Genomic DNA, 14777 nt, shown 5'->3' with positions numbered 1-14777 from the left:
TCATTTCTTTTTTTCTTTTCTTTTCCTTTTTTTTTTTTTTTTTTTTTTTGAGATGGAGTCTTGTTCTGTGGCCCAGGCTGGAGTGCGGTGGCATGATCTCGGCTCACCGCAACCACCGCTTCCTGGGTTCAAGTGATTCCCCTCCCTCCGCATCCTGAGTAGCTGGGATTACAGGTGTGCACAACCACACCCAGCTAATTTTTGTATTTGTAGCAGAGACGGGGTTTCACCATGTTGGCCAGGCTGGTCTCGAACTCCTGACCTCAAGTGACGCACTCACCTTGGCTTCCCGAAGTGCTGGGATTAAAGATGTGAGCCACCATGCCCAGCCCACAGTTCATTTCTAATAGGTATGCATGTATTGTCTCCTCAGTTAGGAGTGTGAGCCTTTGAGGGCAGGATCACATTTTCTACTTTTTATGATTTTGCCACAGAATTTCTTATGTGGAGTTAAGTAAGCTCCTTATTCTGTGCTTAAAGATCTGTAAGTGAATACAAGATTATAGTGGTCTGTACTGAGAACTCTTTATGGAAATATGTTTGAAACTTCTGCCACCTTATTTAAAATAGAATTTATGTCTTTTACCTTATGCAAGTATTATGGGTAAATATATACATAGAAGATAATTTTGAATAAGTCCTAAAATGTTTACTTTATTGTCTGTAAAGCGAACTATCTTAAGTTGTATCAACAAGATTTTAATGGTCAAAGGAATTAGAGTTGTATCAAGTGTTCTTCAGAGTATATAGCTTTAGAATATAAAGTTCTGATAAAACATAACCATTCTATTTCTTTTTTGCACAGAGTTCCATTTTAATTGCTGTTAATCATTTCAGAGAAGAACACTGAACTTTGAAAAAAATGTTGGAAGCCATTGGTAAGACTTATTCTTTTCTGCCTACTTTTATAAGAATTGTAACTCCTCCCATTGGGATTTTTGACATATGTTGTGTTTAACATAGCAGGATTCTGTCTATGGTATCTAGATTTAAAAAGTTTTTACCTACTAGCATTGTATTAAGGTAATATGTTTCTGTATTTGGACAATTTCATCTAAAGTGTTGTAAAAATACGTTACTTATAAGCAAAAATTAAAAACATATGAGATATTCTTCCAATTATGGGTTTTAATAAAGCTTAATGTAAGCCCAATTCTGATTTATGAGCCTAATTCTGGTTAATATCTATTTCTGGAAAGCATCTGGAAGTTTAGCAGTATTTTTAATACTGAAAGAAGATATTACTTTTACTTCTGGCAGGTGAAGTTCTACTGAGCTCTTGCTATTAATTGATAAAGAGAAAAATGTTGCTTAGTCTTATGCTTTAAGGCAGTTTAATTTCTACATTAGATAATTTAGGTTGAAATATCTAGATTTCCCAGACTCATGTGTTAATAAACTGTTTTTCCCACTGCTCTTTAGTTTTAAAGAAACTAGTTTGTAGAACCATTTTACAGGTAGATATATCAGGTATGGTACAATACATGCAATTATCTGACATTCTAGTTCCTTACCCTATTCCAGGTAACTCTTTGGGTATGACTAAATGGAAAGTGTTTGGATTTCACTCTGGCACCTTAATCATTATGGCAGATACCTTGATGTCGGTGGGTTTTGAGGGATAGAGTGACAGTCAGTGACAGTAACGGGAGAAGGACTTGTTTTTGTGGTCGTGGGATCACTATGATGACTTTTGTTCCTGGTACTGTGCTGGTAATGAAAATGTACGTATGTACATTTCCTTCACTTCCCATTTTATACTAAACCCACATGCTGTAAAGACTACTAGTCCACATAGGAAAGTTCTTAATAGGAAAGTGGAAAGGAAAGGGCAAATATAGAATTATTTAAACTGTTGTTTTCTAGTCTTTATTCTGTTTTGTGCTGAGTTGCACACTTTCTAAAAATTGATGTGGAAATTAATATTAGATTTGTATCCTGTGATAACATGGGACATATAACAGAATAAGATGCTCATGTGTATCTTTATCATTTATTTTTAAAATTCTGCATATGAGTAAATATTGTTTGTTTAAGTTTGTGTGTGTGTGTGTGTGTGTGTGTGTGTGTGTGAACCCATGATCAACATCAGTTCATATTTTAATTACCCTCTTTCTGTGCAATTTCAGATTTGGTGCTATAGAAAGTATCTCTGGTGATGATTCCAATTTTTTTTTTTTTTTTTTTTTTTTTTTTTTTTTGAGATGGAGTCTCACTCACTCTGTCGCCCAGGCTGGAGTGTAGTGGTATGATCTCGGCTCACTGCAACTTCCACCTCTTGAGTTCAAGGGATTTTCTTGCCTCAGCCTCCTGAGTAGCTGAGATTACAGGCATATGCCACTACACCCATCTGATTTTTTTTATTTTTTTTTAGTAGAGATGAGGTTTTACCATGTTGGCCAGGCTGGTCTCAAACTCCTGAGCTCAAGTAATCCACCCGCCTCAGCCTCCCAAACTGCGGGGATTACAGACATGAGCCACCGCGCCCCACTGATTCCCACTTTTTAACATTACTGGGATATGGCAAATACGTTTAAATAGATATACTTGTTACCATCATGAATCTAAGTAATACATCTGAACAGTCTTCATTAAAAAAAAATTTTGGCTTCACATATAAGAGTGTGTAAGTGTATATGTTTGTGTTTCAGGGAAAGGTTTTTAACTATTATTTGTGGTGGAAACTGTCTGGCGTAAGTATGCTTGTAAGACACTAGGACTAGTAGGACATAGTTACTCAATATATTTACTTTTAGCAACTTTGTGTCTGATTTGTACAGTGTTCAATAATTATTTGAATTGATTTGGTTTGAAGCAGATGTAAATATGCTATTTTGTTTGCTATTTAATTTTGGAGAAAGATTTAAAATATTAAAAAGTATTCAGTTTTGTATTTTTGTACTCCATTAAAAAATGTGTACTTTCTCTACAGGTTTTTTTTTTTTTTTTTGAGATGGAGTCTCACTCTGTCACCCAGGCTGGAGTGCAGTGGCCCAATCTCGGCTCACTGCAACCTCTGCCTCCTGGATTCAAGTGATTCTCCTGCCTCAGCCTCCTGAGTAGCTGGGGTTACAGGAGCGCACCACCATGCCCGGCTAATTTTTTGTATTTTTAGTAGAAACGGGGTTTCATCATTTTGGCCAGGCTGGTCTCGAACTCCTGAGCTCAAGTGATCAGCCCGCCTCAGTCTCCCAAAGTGCTGGGATTACAGGCATGAGCCACTGGGTCCGGCCTACTGTTTTTTTATTCAATTTAAAAGAGACAATTTTATGCACTCAATAGAAATAGTTTTAGAATTTCTACAAGATGGAGTCCTCTTAGGCTGGACATGTGTCCTTTGAATCCTGTTATTGACAAATGCTGCTCTTTGGTATAGACAAAAATCGGGCCCTGCATGCAGCAGAGCGCTTGCAAACCAAGCTGCGAGAACGTGGGGATGTAGCAAATGAAGACAAACTGAGCCTTCTGAAGTCAGTCCTGCAGAGCCCTCTCTTCAGTCAGATTCTGAGCCTTCAGACTTCTGTACAGCAGCTGAAAGACCAGGTAGGACATCATTCACCCAAGCAGGCATTCACGACATGGCATAGATCTTGTGAAAGGCTTGTGTTTTTCTGAAAGGCTGATTTTTCTATGTGTTAATGAATAGTTAATGAAGTCATTTAAACCTCCAAATGAGACATTCAGATTCACTGTGGCTTTTTTCCTCCTAGTTATTTTTGTAATGGTTGTTGCTGTATATTGTAGATGATATGACATTGTGTTGAAAGCTGTGTGGATGCTGAAGAATGAGTTTCTACAGGAAAAACGGATGATAAAAATATGTTTAGGATGGTTGGCTGTAGACTTAGTTTCCATCATCACTGAGGCTCATTGTTCATGTGATCTTGCTCATTCAGATTCGGACATTCAGTATACTTACAAGATTTCAGATAAGCGTGGATTTGCATGTGTAATCATGTGTATGAGGAAGGGAAATCACCTCTATTTTGACAGTAAAAGGAATAATTACATTGTCATCAGTTAGAGGAATTGCAATTCTCACTTCTTTAAAGAGTGTAAGTAGCAATTGCTTCCATGACAGCTCAGATGGTGATAAACATTAGAACTTCTAAATGTAACACAGTGCTTTTTTGTTCTGTAAAAATTATGAGCATTAAAAAGTCCTAGCATTTATATTAAAATTGAAACATTTCACAATGACAGAATGAAAACTGAAGTCAGATGTTCTTTGAACTTACTTAATTTAATCACCATTTCTATGCTTTAAAAATATTTAAAAAATGTTATCTTCAAGGTTTGAAGTCAATCTCATTATGCCTTCAATCCAAGTTAGTTTTCATTCTAATGTCTTTAGCATTAATTTAATGGTTATAGATGACTTGCTAGCAAATATTCTGCCTTATAAGGTTAAAAATGAAACTTGAAGATTAGTTTCATAATTGAGTGAAAGAACAGCTCCAGTTAAAAAAAACCCAAAGTGTGGCTAATGCAAAAGAACAAATAGTAATAAGAGAGAATGAATTTGTTTAATGTCATATAACTTCTTAATCTAAATATTTTGTAGCAAAAAAAGTTAAGTCAAGAAGAATCTTCACAAATACCTTTCTATAGTAAATGTCTATTTAATGGTTTTAAAAGTCGTGATCATGAATTTAAGGTGTTGTTGTTATATGTAGTTGTGTTTGTCTCCTTTACAAGTTATTGAAAAGATTGATTTTATTTATTTTTATTTTTTTGAGACAGAGTCTCATTCTGCCACTCAGGTTGCAGTGCAGTGGCACCATCTCTGCTCACTGCAGCCTCTATCTCCTGGGTTCAAGAGATTCTCCTGCCTCAGCCTCCTGACTAGCTGGGATTATAGGTGCCTGCCACCACGCCCAGCTAATTTTTGTATTTTTAGTAGAGATGGGGTTTCACCATGTTGGCCAGGCTGGTCTCCTGACCTCAAATGATCTATCCGCCTTGGCCTCCCGAAGTGCTGGGATTACAGGAGTGAGCCATCGCGCCTGGCAAGATTGATTTTCAGTACTGGTTTTCAGAATGGATTGGTAAGCTTTTGGAGAAACCAGTATCCCAAATAAAAGCATAATTATGTTGTGGAAATTATCTGCTTTTTCAGAGTGTAAAGAAGTTGAACAGATATCTTCTATTCTTAATATGTTATGTGAAAACATGATTAGAATGAGAAGAAAAGTTGAAACAAAAAGAGTGCTAGCAAGTCTGTTGGGATATACCACTGGCCCAGTGAGATAACTTGAAATTTCCGTTGTAGACAGTCTTAATGTAAAAGGAATAGTTATTTGTGCATACAGTGTCTCATGAAAGGAGGGGACAAATAGGCCGGCCTATTAAGCTTGTTTTACCATTTCCATATGGAAGTAGAATATGGGCTCTGAGACTATTTGGGTCCCACGTGATTCAGATGAAACCTACTTGGAAATTTGTTGAGACCGAGACCAACTACAGCATTATCTTATTATTTTGTTGATAGACAACTGATATATTTTAAGACTACATAAATTGTGAGGTCTGTGAATTCTATGAGACATGTCTTACATGTTTTTGGACTTTGGGCTCCTTGATCACATGTTCATATACAGGGGAAAACTAATACTGAAAGGGACCAAGGAAAACACCTAGTTTATACCCTGTAGATTACAGTGGCTTAGAGAGGTTAAGTGACTTGATTATAAGAGTAGAGTAGAACTAGAACTCAGTTTTCTTTGGAGCCTGTCTCACATCTTCTTCTTCTTTTTTTTTTTTTTTCAAAGGTAGAAAGTTGAACCCTAGATGCCAAGAATTTTCTTTTGTTTAAAATCATTAATAACTTTTTACAGTGTCTGTGATTCGTTTTTTAAATCTCCATTCTTTACTAATTCAATTCCATTTGTTTACCAGATTCTTTCTTACATGACTAGAGTAAAAATTTAAAAACTTATATTAGTTTCTATTCTAAAATTTAAATATAAGTACTCTAGAGTTTTGTCATGTCAGATTTAAATTTTCTATGTAGTTTACCAACTGCTGATTTATTAATAATTATAATTTAATAATTAATGAATTCAGGAATTAAATTTATTCTTTTAAACCAGTGGCTACACAAATCTGACCAATGGCTAGCTTATATTTATTACCTCATACCTTACCTGTTTTCAAATGTATAATTTTATATGCATGACAGCTGCAATTTACTATCTCCATCTTTTTTACTATTATTAGAAAATACGACCCTCTGATTCTCCCTCTCCATCAGTCTCCTGTTTTTTTTAGAAGTAAAGGGACTGAATAATTGAAAAGCTTGAGGTATATGCAGCATATTGGAGAACATGATCATATTGTTGTATTAATGACAGATGCTGACATACCATGTTGAATTAAGCCTACAATTTTTTCCCCTCAGATCCTTCTCATTACTTCTATTCAATAATGTTTAATTTTTTCAATTTGCTTCTTCAGTATTAAGACTGCCCTTAGAAATCAAACTGTTTCCCTTTGGCAAATTAAACACTTGACAGGTGTGTAACTGAGAGGGCAAAAAAGCCATGCCCTGAAGGGATGTGCTATTTAAATATTGTCAAAAATATTAGCAGGTCTGAGAATATAATTGATGTCTCTGTTTAACTCTGCCACATTGTGTATTGTTCTAACGCCAGCTAAAAGGATGCATGCTATTAAACCTGAATAATCTCTAATAGCTCTGGTTCATTTCCTATTGCATGATTCCTGTTTAAGTGAAGAGAAAAAAAAAGAACTGTGACTGTGTGTCAATGATCTGTCAAATGCAAATTCTCAAGTAGTGTCCTCACTGTCACCTAGTCATCACTGCTAATCACTACAGGGCTTAATGCGTATTCATGACAAAAATCCAGCTATTGTGGGGGAAATAAACACGTTAGCAGTTTAATAATAGAAACTTGTCAGCCTTGAGGATATTGGATTTGCATATTTATTCTATGAAGTTTCTCCAGTCCAGTATAGGTGGATGCTACTCTCTTGATTAATTAATTGCGTTGCCTTAAGAATTGACCAGTGGCACTAAATTAATCTTTTTACCCTGAATTATCTGTAGGAAAACTGAGAATTAAAATGATTAATTTCAATAGAAATTTAGGACCAATACTTAAAAATCGACATTGCTAAGATTATTTTTAAAGCTATGGCAACAGAGACCAATTCCAAGATTGGAGAAATAATGTAGATGACTCAGGCTGCAAAAGCTGCTTAGATGGCAAATAAACCTCAGCACAGAATATTCAGGAGGTCTCTCCTCGTCAGTGACCTTCAGACTTTTTGGAGTGTGGCATTCTATTGTTTTGTTGTTGGTGTTTCTTTAATATTTCCAGGTTTTTAGTTCATTTACTTTCCTCCCAAAAAGTGTAGGCTTACACATATATCATCTAGATGCGTAATGTGTATGCACACAAAATTAAGGCAGACTTTTCTTTGGAAATTTTATGACAACTCTTGAAATAACTGTAGAGATGCTGTGTTAACATGGGATCAGGGTTGAAAATTACTCTTAAATGTTGATTAGAGTAATTAGATCTTTTTTTGAAATTTTTTCGTGAAATGAGATCTTCATGATGTAAAATTTTGGTTTTATATTTCTATGTAAGTTTTTGTTAATTACATTTCAAAAAGAATTTGAAGCAACTTCTAATGGCAAGACTTGTTAAATAATGAATGATTCAAATGTAAACCTAAACAAAGACCAAAAAAAAAGTCACATAACTAGATATACCAAGGACCTTGGGTTACTAAAATTGAGTATGTCATTTAATTTGTTTCCTAGAAGCAAAGCAAAAAAAAAAAAAGAGATAGAACTGAAGGACTATGTATTGTTCAATGTGGGATTCAGTGAACCAGTTTTCCCTTGGCAATGGGTGGGTTATCTCATGGAGGCTCATATTCTTATATTCATTTAATAATCAAGCTTTGTTGAACATCTAAAATTAATAAAAATACAAAGAATAATAAGATGGAGGTTCTCACTATCTAGAGGGGAAAATAGAACAGAAAGAAAACAAAGAAGGTGAATAGTAAAGAAGGAATGAGTAACTTTTACTAGAAGAAAACCTCACAGTGGAGGCAACAGCATGGAAAATGGGTCTTGAAAAATGAGTTCTGCAGAGGTGGGGGAAATGATTTCAGGTAGAGAGAGCAATGTTTACAGGGATACAGAGCAGTTCACAACAGGATTATTTTATGCTCTCCATTCCCGAGGGAAACTTGGCAATGTCTGGAGTTAGTTCTTACTGTCGTGACTGGAAGATACGGGAGCTGCTACTGACAGGTAATGGGTAGAGTTCAGTGATGCTGTTAAACATCCTTCAATGTACAGCACAGCCTCCTACAGCAAAAAATGACTGGGCTTATAATGTCTGCATTGCTGAGGTTGAGAAACCCTGGTATGGAGCCCCATGCAGACCTATATTATCAGAGCAGTAGATTATATGAGGGGTATTGGCAGGAGAGGAAACTATGGAGCCAGACTGTGAAGAACCTTTTTAAGTAAGATGTTTTATTTGTTGGTTGGTTAATCACCTTTGTTCTTTTGCATTTTTTTTTTTGGATATTGTATTAACTTTGTCTTCTAATTGTTCTAGTATGTACATTATTTTAGCAATCATTTTGTTTTTTATTTCTTCACATTTTTTAACATGATAAAATCATCCTAACAGGCTGGATGCAGTGGCCAAGGCAGGCGGATCACTTGAGGCCAGGAGGTCGAGACCAGCATGGTCAACGTGGTGAAACCCCATCATCTCTACTAAAAATACAAAAATTAGCCGAGCGTGTTCATGCATGCCTGTAATCCCAGCTACTGGGGAGGCTGAGGCACGAGAATTGCTTGAGCCCAGGAAGTGGAGGTTGTGGTGAGCCCAGATTGCGCCACTGCACTCCAGCCTGGGCAACAGAGCCAGGCTCTGTCTCAAAAAAAAAAAAAAAAAAAAAAAAAAAAGCATCCTAACATAAAATTAAGGTAGTGGTTTTAATGACATTTTGATAAGTAAGATCTTCAGTTATAATTGTGAAATATAGTAATTGTTCTTTAAAATAATGCTGCTTTCATCTTACTAATTCTAAGAATACAGCATCACATCCTAATTTACTAATGGTTTTTCTGCCCAAGGCCACACAAGTAATATACACTCTGTGTGAATTTTTTTTTCTGATGCTCAAAACAGGAGCAAATTCTAGAAAACCTAGAAATGTAGGTAGTCAGGTAGTCAATGTGTACTTCAGAGGTTCAGCTTCAAATATCTGAGGTAAGCAGAGTTTGTTAGGTGGAACACACACTATACCAGGACATGTCTGAGGAGTCTTTATTCTGTAGATACAGATTTGTACGACTGCGAAGAGTTCATGGCCAAAGTGTTGAGGTATGTTGCTTTTAAGTAGCAACAGCAGCAGCTCAAATAATTTCTTACATTTATCATTTTAGAGTGATGGGAAAATGAGAAACTTTGTGAACTGAGCATTTTCTTGCTCTATTTTAACTTTGACAATCAGAAAGATACTGTTTTGTTTGATTCATATCTTAAAGAGCAGAAGTGCCTGTGTTTCCCTCTCTTCTTATATAAATAACAAACTAAAAATGACCCTTTCCCTATAGTTTCTAATTTGAGACCGAAAGGAGGATGATTCACCTATATGCTTGCTATCAGTAAAGGGGAGATGACTACTGTCTTTCCAAGAATGTCTAGGTTAAGTTATGACTTGGTGTTGGTAGGGGAAGGAGGACAGAACGAAAGAAATATGCTTTGATTTCATTAACAAGAATTATTTAAAAATGGAGTGGAACTCTTCCCAGCTGTTGTTACTTGTGAAAATGAAAATGATCTTTCTTACACCTGAAATAGTTTTACTTTTATGATAGAGCTTTGTAGCCACCTGACAGCAAAGTATCTATTTCTCGAGACTCTAGTGTGCATTATCTAGGAGAAGTTAAAAGAGAATGAGTGGTTCTTATGTTTTTACATTTACCGTAAAGTTTATTTACTGTAGGAATTTCAAATACTTTATTTTTGGTACAATAACAGCTTTTAAATGTTTGTTCCTTTAGCTAAAAGTTTGTAAATATAGAGCCATTGAAGGGACTAAAATTTTTGTTTTACCGTGGGCAAGAAGGCACTGTTCAAGCTTTTTATACAGTGCTGGATTAAAATGCAACACCATCTTGCTATTGGCTATGCATGTGTGTCTAAAACAGCAAATGGTGATAATTGTATGGTATTTTTGTGACAATGTTAAATGGTCTTTGGAGGAGAAGGAAAAAAATGTGAAATTTACTGGTTATAACCTAAATGAGTTTTTTTTAACCTCCAAATTTAAGACTAATAGGCCTTATTTTTCACTTGAAGCTACAACAATTACCTTTCAAGAAGCCCTTATGTGCTATAGACTTTGCCTCATTTAACTAGTCCATCAGTTCCAGGAGGTAGGTTTTGTCCTCATTTTATCCAGTGAGGAAATTGGGGGTTAGCTTGTATAACATAATCTGACCCACACAATTATTCATTGATAGACTTAAGAGAATTTGAGGTCTGTCTAACCCTGAAGCCAGTCTTTTTTTTTTTTTTTTTTTTTTTTTTTTACTTTTATTATGTTACACTGTTTCTGAATCCTTAGTTCTCTGTGTTAATGAACAAATAAGATGGAAAAACTGTTAATAGCATCCCTGAAGAGAAATGCACTTCAGCTAAACATCATCTAAACTCAAATTCATTAACTTAAAATATGCCATGTCCTATAAATTCTTCTCCCAGATTTTAATCATAGATTCTTTTTAACGTAAACCAGTACTTCATTCTGGTTATATTAACAATTTTGCTAGATTTTAAAGTTAAAGTGAATGATCTGGTTAAAGATAATAGTGGAATGGAGAGAGAATGTGGCAAAATATTATCAGTCTTCATGTGTCCATTCCTATATAATTATACTTCTCTGTAAGGCTTTATTTTATTTTTATTTTCCTCTAAGCAGATTGTGAACAGTGAGTCAGTTTGTCTCCTAGAAATGTGGGACTGATAGGAAAAACACTGCAAAAATTCTAACATGTTGTTTGTTTAAATTTTCAGTTTCTAAATTACTTATTTGCCTTCCATTTTCAAATAGATTAATTTACTTAATTTTGATACCTTCCCCACTATGATGTAGAAAATTTCAGCATACCTTGATAAGAATATAATTTTTGCTCAAGCTACACTTTTTAAATTTTTTTCTCTTGGAAATTTAGCTAAGAAAACACAGAATTGTTGAGATTTAAATAAAGAAAAGACATTCTGTAAATATGCATAAACACACATGCCTAGACTGTGGTATATGCTACATTCCACTTGCCATTTGTTCTTAACAAGCATAAAAAGGAGCCTTAGAATTAATTGTATTTCAGGTTTGCTTGACATCCATTTACCACTTTTGGCATAAAGTCCATGCCATATTCATCTTTAAATACTTTGTACCTTATATGATACTTAAGCTCTAAAACTGATTGCTTAATAAATGAATGCATGAGTATTCTTAAATATTCAAAACTGTCATTCATTATTTATCTTTCCTTGCCAGACAACTAGTTTTTAACTTAAGTAAATTAACCAAATAACTGAAGTTATTTTGGAGACCCTACTTTTTCTCTTAGCAATGACATTGAAAAGGTACATCATTTATCATATCATAGCAATTATCATAGCATAAAGTCTTACTGTGTGCCCAGAACTGTTCTAGTTCTATTATAGTTAATGGTTTCATCATTACAACAATACTATAAAGTCGGTAATATGATTTTCCTCATTTTATAGATAGGGAAATGGGGTTATAGAGAGGTTAAGTGGTAGAGCCAGGCAGGCTGGACTCCAGAGCCTAGATCTTAATCATAGAACTCCATATTTTTTGTTTTATTTTCTTCTTACACAGCATAGTGAATATAGTTTAAGGATTTCTGGGTGATTTGAGGGCTTCTTATGATTATCTGATCTCAGATTGTGGCAGCGTGGTCTAATAGTAGTTGGAGACAAACCTGATCCAGATTTGTATTCTGGTAATGATATTTATTAGTAGGTGATATTAAGTAAGAATTTATTCTCAAGACATATATCCTGTGAAACATTTTGGTTTCCTGATCAGTTTGTAGTCATAAATTATTATTAAGGTCTGCAAAAATCTTTTGTTCATATGGTTTTATCTATCAATATATGCCATGTTAGAAATCAAAATTCAGAAGTGTTTTAAATATTTATTTATTTAAAAATCACAGTAGTAAACCCATTACATGTTTAAAAATTGAGGAGAGTGGCACTATTTTATATTTTTGCACATATATTTAATGTGCAGCTTAATAGCAGAATACTAGATTTTCATCGGCTTCTGCATTCAATGTTTGGATTTGCTGTTTTAGTTGATGTTTTTGAAGAAAATCTTGCCTCACACAGATATGTAAGCTGGGAAAGGGAGGGTTACAGCTTTTCAGATAATTGTGGTATCCTTCTTTGATAGTGCATCAAAATTTGTGGAGTTTTCTTAAAGTTTAGTTGCACTGTTGAAGTAGCATTGTTGTCTGGGGTAAATACACAAGGTTCGTCATCTTGCACCAAGAAAATTAAGGACACGGACACATGTGGGTGGGTTGAGGAATGAAAAGTTTAATAGGCAGAAGAAAGGAGAGAGGAGAACAGCTCCTTGCCAGAGAGAGGCATCCGAAAGAAGGGGCAAGGCAGCCGACTGCAGCATATTTTATAGGCGGGCTTGAGAAGGGGGTGTCTGATTTACGTAGGGCTCTCCGGTTGGTTTGACCAGGTGTGATGTTGTTTACACGGTTCGAGGGGAAGGCTGGTCACCCCACTGTAATCTTATTATGTAAGTGGACTTTCCACTTGGCTCTTGCCATCTTGTCTGCTCCTTACTGTACACATGGCTGGCAAAAAGAGAAGATGTAGCCACCATTTTGAACATGCCTAGTCCCAGGTAGTATAGTCCAGTGGGCACAACTGCTGGCATTCACCTGTGCAAGCTTACAGCTTGGTTGTTTATGTCTGCAGCTCAGTTTCACAGGCTGCTCTTTGTTAGAGAAGAAAATGATTTTGGGGCTGCTTTTCTGGAAAACCTTACCAAGGACTATACCCTCGCTATCTGCCTAAGTAATTTCTTCTTAACTCCTATATCACTGTGAAATCTGAAACCAAATCAATAAGTATTTCACTCTCTACTACAGGAAAATCTATTTGTCTATCTTGCTCTTTGAATTTTTTTTAACTAAAGCTTAATTTATATTTCATTGGTCATTTGGAAAATTTGAAAAATGGAAAAATCACATTTCTCATTTCATTATATAATATACAAAAGTTATACTTGCTGATATCAGTTGCAGTCTTATCAACAAATTCAAGTTATGGAAAGGTGTCAAGCTCAAGGTGGCAGATACAGATGTTCTAAAATTCTAATTTTCACTTGAAAGCTCAAATTTTATTATGGGCGGCAAATACTGTCTGTTGTCTTCCTTGAAGTGACAGGCTTACTTTGTTTATTTTTGAGAAAATGTCTTTTCTATACTCAAGTCTATATAATCATAGTTTGATTTTCAGTAATTTTTTTTTTTCAAATACGATACAAAAAAAGTAGCTAGGCTAGTTCAGCTTGCAACTCAAATTAGTGTTTTCTGTGAGACAATCATTGAATTTATTATGCAGCATAAACACTTTGTACTTACCATTTTACCTTTTTTTTTTTTTTTTTTTTTTGAGACAGTGTCTTGCTCTGTCACGTAGACTGGGCTGGAGTGCAGTGGCATGCTCATGGCTCACTGCAGCCTCGACCTCTTGGGCTCCCGTGACCCTCCAACCTCAGCCTCTGAGTAGCTGGGACCACAGGTGTGTGCCACTAGCCAGGCAATTTTTTTTTTTGTAGAGACGGGCTTTTGCCATGCTGCTCAGGCGGGTCTCGAACTCCTGGACTCAAGCAATCTGCCCACCTCAGCCTCCCAAAGTGCTGGGATTACAGGCGTGAACCACCGCTCCTGGCCTGCTTACCATTTTGAAGCATGGAATATGAAAAACACATGTTCTTGAGGGTCAAGATTTAATAAAATTAACAAGTTTTACTGTATCAAGAATTTGTAATTTAAAGGATGGAGAAATAGAATATTGCTCTTTATGATAGGCGCTGAAAGCAATTTGTAGTCTTTTTTTCAGCGTATCTTGGACAATTCTATCCACCCAGTAACAATAATAAGAAATAAAGATACTATTAAAAAAGATCAAACGTATTTGAAAAAATAACCCATTATTTTTGAAATTAGGATCTCGGTGGAAACTCAGGGGAGAGGTAAAACATCCTGGTACGTTCTACTTCATTGTAGGAGCGAAGTTTTTAAAAAAGAAGGTAAACAATTTTTTGATAACAATAATGAAAAGACTTTAAAACAAAACTATGTTTTAACTTCAAGTTATTTTCCAATCTTTATTCGAGTGTTCATAAATATTTTATGAAATTTGGGGAAGTGGGAGTTTTAATTTTTTTACCTAAGTATATTCCCAAAGGTTTTAGTGTCATTTAGGCCTTCTTAAAGAAGAAGAAAACGAGTTTATAAAATACACATGGAGGGCTGGGCACAGTGGCTCACGCCTGTAATCCCAGCACTTTGGGAGGCTGAGGTGGGCGGGTCACCTGAGGTCGGGAGTTCGAGACCAGCCTGACCAACATGGAGAAACCCAGTCTCTACTAAAAATACAAAATTAGCCAGGTGGGTGGTACATGCCTGTAATCCCAGCTCAGCTACTTGG

General features: G+C 35.5%; 1 protein-coding gene across 57 annotated transcripts in view; it reads left to right on the top strand.

Moving 5' to 3' along the window:
- The window catches only part of MPDZ (multiple PDZ domain crumbs cell polarity complex component), a 173986-nt gene that overhangs the window by 28515 nt on the left and 130694 nt on the right, over positions 1-14777 (top strand). For all 57 annotated transcript variants that reach the window (NM_001375425.1, NM_001375420.1, NM_001375419.1 and 54 more), the window contains 2 exons: positions 806-878; positions 3377-3543. In NM_001375425.1, the coding sequence (NP_001362354.1) occupies positions 863-878; positions 3377-3543 (183 nt within the window). In that variant the 5' untranslated portion in view covers positions 806-862. The remainder of the gene's footprint in view (positions 1-805; positions 879-3376; positions 3544-14777) is intronic.

Source organism: Homo sapiens, chromosome 9 (genome assembly GCF_000001405.40).
Source record: "Homo sapiens chromosome 9, GRCh38.p14 Primary Assembly".
NCBI lineage: Eukaryota > Metazoa > Chordata > Mammalia > Primates > Hominidae > Homo > Homo sapiens.
The sequence above is the reverse complement of the archived record's forward strand: the minus strand, read 5'-3'. Positions and strand labels throughout refer to the sequence as shown.